Source organism: Homo sapiens (assembly GCF_000001405.40).
Source record: "Homo sapiens chromosome 15 unlocalized genomic scaffold, GRCh38.p14 Primary Assembly HSCHR15_RANDOM_CTG1".
NCBI classification, from domain to species: Eukaryota; Metazoa; Chordata; class Mammalia; order Primates; family Hominidae; genus Homo; species Homo sapiens.
Genome location: NT_187382.1, coordinates 178,185 through 182,445, shown reverse-complemented (window position 1 = coordinate 182,445; position 4,261 = coordinate 178,185).

Sequence of the window (4,261 nt, the reverse complement as noted above, 5' to 3'; positions counted from 1 at the left end):
CCTCCCAGGTTCAAGTGATTTTCCTACATCAGTCTCCTGAGTAGCTGGGATTACAGGTGCTCGCCACCATGCCCGGCTAATTTTTATATTTTTAGTAGAGACGAGATTTCACCATGTTGGTCAGGCTGGTCTCGAACTCCTGACCTCATGATCCACCCACCTCGGCCTCCCAAAGTACTGGGATTACAGGTGTGTGAGCCACCGCACCCGCCCCTATAGTTTCTGATTTTAAATTATATTCAATACTATAGTAATAAAAACAAGACAGCATGTGCATAAAAATGAACACGAAAACCTACAGAACAAAGTAGAGAGCCTAGAAAAAAAAAAACCTATGCCTATAAAATCAATTAATCTTGAACAAGGATATTGAAAATGCACAATGCAGTAAGTGAAATCCCTTTATTATTTGGAGCTAAGAAAATTGGGTATCCACAAGCAAAAGAATAAAATTAGATGATTTTTCTTACATCATATCCCAAAATTAACTCAAAATAAGGACAAATAAAACACATGAATTCTTAAAAATCCTAAAAGAAAACAAAATGTGGTCAACCTCCTTTATATTGGTCTTGACAGTATTTTTTTGGATCTGACACAAAAAGTGCGCCACAAAGGCAAATATAAAAAAGTTGGACTACATCAAACTAAAAAACTTATAAACAGAAAACAATAAGAAAACTTACAGGTTGGGAGAAAATATCTGCAAACCACTGTTAAGTGGTTAATATCCAAAATATGTAAGGAACTCATACAAATAAAAAACCAAAACAACAATAATAATGACAGTAATGATAACATGATTAAAAGACAGGTAAAGAAATATTTTTTTAGTGAAGACGTAAACTAAGAGTATTTGAAAAGCTGCTCAACATCTTCAATCATGAGGCAAATACAAATAGAAACAATGATGACATATCATTTCACACTTGTTAGGATGGCTAATATCAAAATTCAGAGACATGTATGTTATTCTGATGATGGATACCCTAAAAGCCCTGACTTCACCACCATGCAGTCTATCCATGTCACAGCCCTTGAACTGGGACACATTTACCTGAAAACCAGCCATTTCATCTTCTTTCTCTTTCTTCTCTGAGTTTTTGTCAGGTGAGATTCTCTGGACAAGTCATGGCTGTATGTTGATAATATGCCTTAAAAAGCATCAGTACAACCCCTTTACTTGCTACGACTACAGCTACAGGGAGAAGGAACTAGAAGTGCAAAAAAGTCCACTCTTCCCTGTCCTTTATCCCAGGAGAGAGTCAGGAACAATGAGTTCCTACATAAAGATCAAAATGTGTTTCTCATTTCCTGCTTTCAAGTGTCCTCTCCTATCAAAGACTCAAGCAACTTTTGCTGCAGCAACTGGACTATGGGCTGCACTAACCACCGTATCAAATCCAAGCAGAGCAGATCCTGTGACCTGGAGAAAGGAGCCGGCTGTCCTTCCCTGCTGTAACCTAGAGAAAGGAAGCTGGCTGTCCTTCCCTGGCACAGCTGCACGCAAGGAATTTTCCACCACGCTCACCGGGCAGTAAGTTGAAACATAAAAAGATTAACAAGTTGGCTTATTTTTACTTCTACTCAGAGTGCAGAGTCATCGTAATTTATTGTTTTCTATGTCTCAAATACTCTGCTTTATTTTATTTTATTTTATTTTATTTTTGAGATGGAGTCTCGTTCTGTTGCCAGGCTGGAGTGCAATGGTGCAATCTCAGCTCACTGCAGCCTCCGCCTCCCGGGTTCAAGCAATTCTGCCTCAGCCTCCCGAGTAGCTGGGACTACAGGCGCACACCAGCACGTCCAGCTAATTTTGGCATTTTTAGTAGAGATGGGGTTTCAACATGTTGGCCAGGATGGTCTCGATCTCTTGATCTCGTAATCCGCCGCCTTGGCCTCCCAAAGTGCTGGGATTACAGGCCTGAGCACTGCGCCCAACCTCTGTTTTATTTTTTAGTATGTTATCAAATGAAACATTAGTCCAATTATTAAAATAAATGCTTTAGTTGTCTGAGCAACTGTATTTTGTATCTGTCAAATCCACAAGCCTAACAATTTTACCTTTCTGAAATATCTACCACGTGTTCAAAGTCAGCACGCTACTCCTAGTTCTGCAAGGCACTGAAAGTACATAGAAAGAAAGAGGGGGGAAGCACATTTAAGAAACAGGTTTTCTGCAGGATCACAAGGGTATAACAATTGCCTATAACGGTGTGGCTACTTTCTCCGCATTCAGTCCCCGTGACTAAATAACTACTGCATTTGTGGAAGTCTCTAGGCTGGGTGCTGGACCCTAATTAATGCATTTGAAATCCAGGCCTACACTGTCCCTGGGCTCAGCGACTAACCTTAGTAGAAGCACACATTTCTCAATATGCACATAAGGCAAATAGGTGCTCACGGCAGCCAAACAGAATGCTTTGAAAAGCATTTTCCCAATGAGCCCCCCGCCAGCCCAAACCCCCGCAAACTCCGGAATTAGGAGACATAACAGGTACTTCCACCTCAGAAGCCAAAGCCCTCTGCGACTCCTGCCAAGAAGGGCAGGTTGCCATGCGTGGGTCGGCTGGGCGCGTCCTGGGGCTGGTCTGCCTGACCCGGACAAAACCAGGCGGCGAGCACGCGGCGCTGCATGCGGAAAACCGGAGCTGCGCCTCCTGCCGCCCCTCAGTCGCTAGGCAGGAACCCCAGGAGAGGCTACGGTCCCCTGACCTCCACAGAGGCTCGCCAGGGCCGGCGCGCAGGGGCAGGTGGGCGCGGGGGCTGCCCTGCGGCGCCGCAGCCTGGGCCTCCCCTGGCACCCGTGGTCGGCCATCCGCCGCGTCCGCAGCAGCGCGCTGAGCCTCTCCAGTTCGCGGGCCCTCCCCGGCTCGCTCCCGGCTTTCGCAGACCTCCCCCGCTCCTGCCCTGAGTCCGAGCAGAGCGCAACGCCAGCCGGCGCCTTCCTCCTGGGCTGGGAGCGAGTGGTGCAGCGGCGGCTCGAAGTCCCCCGGCCTCAAGCAGCCCCCGCGACTAGCGCGACACCCTCGCGGGATCCGAGTCCACCCTGCCACCAGCGCCGGGACGCCGCGTGCCTCAGAGCCCAAGGGCTGACCCGGGCCTTCCAGGTGGTCCATCTCGCTCCTACGGCTCCCGACGGTGGCGCTGGGTGTCCCCCATCCCGCAATTCCTACCGGCTGACCCATGTGCGCTGCGCCCAGGTACCCCGCCGGGCAGGGCTGAGCAGCCCGGACCCCGCGCTCTCCTGCGCCCAGATTCAGCGCTGCAGTCGCCAGGGAAAGTTTGCGCTCCGGACTGGCCGCGGCGCCCCGCCTGCTCTGCACCTCTCCTGGCCCACCACGCAGCCCGCGATTCGGGATCCCAGAGGAGAGGGGTGCGGGCTGAGCCGGGGCCACGAGTCCTCTCCCGCGCTCCCGCCCTTTTACCTCACTGTCCCGCCGGGCGCACGCAGAGCTCACCTTGCGTGCCGGCCGGTGGAGGCGAGCCATAGGTGACGGTGCATCCTCCTTCTCCGCCTGCTCTCGCCCGGCTGGCAGGGGCTGGAGGCTGCCAGCGCCAACCTTCCCGGCGCTCCGGGGCGGAGCAGCTCCTGCGCCCTGCGCTACCGCAGCGGCCCTTCAGTCAGCTCCGCGCCGTCCCCCGCAGAGCCCCCGGCGCACCAGCGCCTGCTTTTCCTTCCCCGAGCGCCTCAAGCAGTCTCTGGGCCGCAGGAACAGCCCTCTGAAGAGGCGCTTGGGTAGAGGCCACCAGACACTCAGCAAACGCGCCCTCGGCCCCGCTCGGCTGAGCGGGAGGGCGCAGGGCCCGCGGCTGGACCTGCAAGGGGAGTTCCGGTTCTGCTGAAGTTTCTTTAGGGCCTTCAGCAGCGTCTTCGGCGCCTCCTGTAGTCGCCGCTGTCCTCTTGTAGTGCAGGGATGGGAGGGCAGGGTCAGGAGCCCGGCAACAGAGGCCAGTTTCAAGAGCTTTGCTCCCCTAGGGCCGGCCCCCTCTCCCTGCCCAGGCCTGGGTCCCTCCCGGGTGCTCTGAGGCACCCCCGGACATGCGCATGTCTTAGTCGCTCCTGAAAGAAATTGGCTTGTTGTGGGCACTCTTTTCATCTCATTCATAGACAGGAGTGCATTGCTGCCGGACGGAAAGCCAGGGTCACATGGGACTCCATTAGAATGAAACCCTTACCTAATGCAGTATATATTTGGGGGTTTTCTGAAGTTCCATTTCTTAGCAAGAAGCCTCGGTGACAACGGGAAAGGGCCAGGGG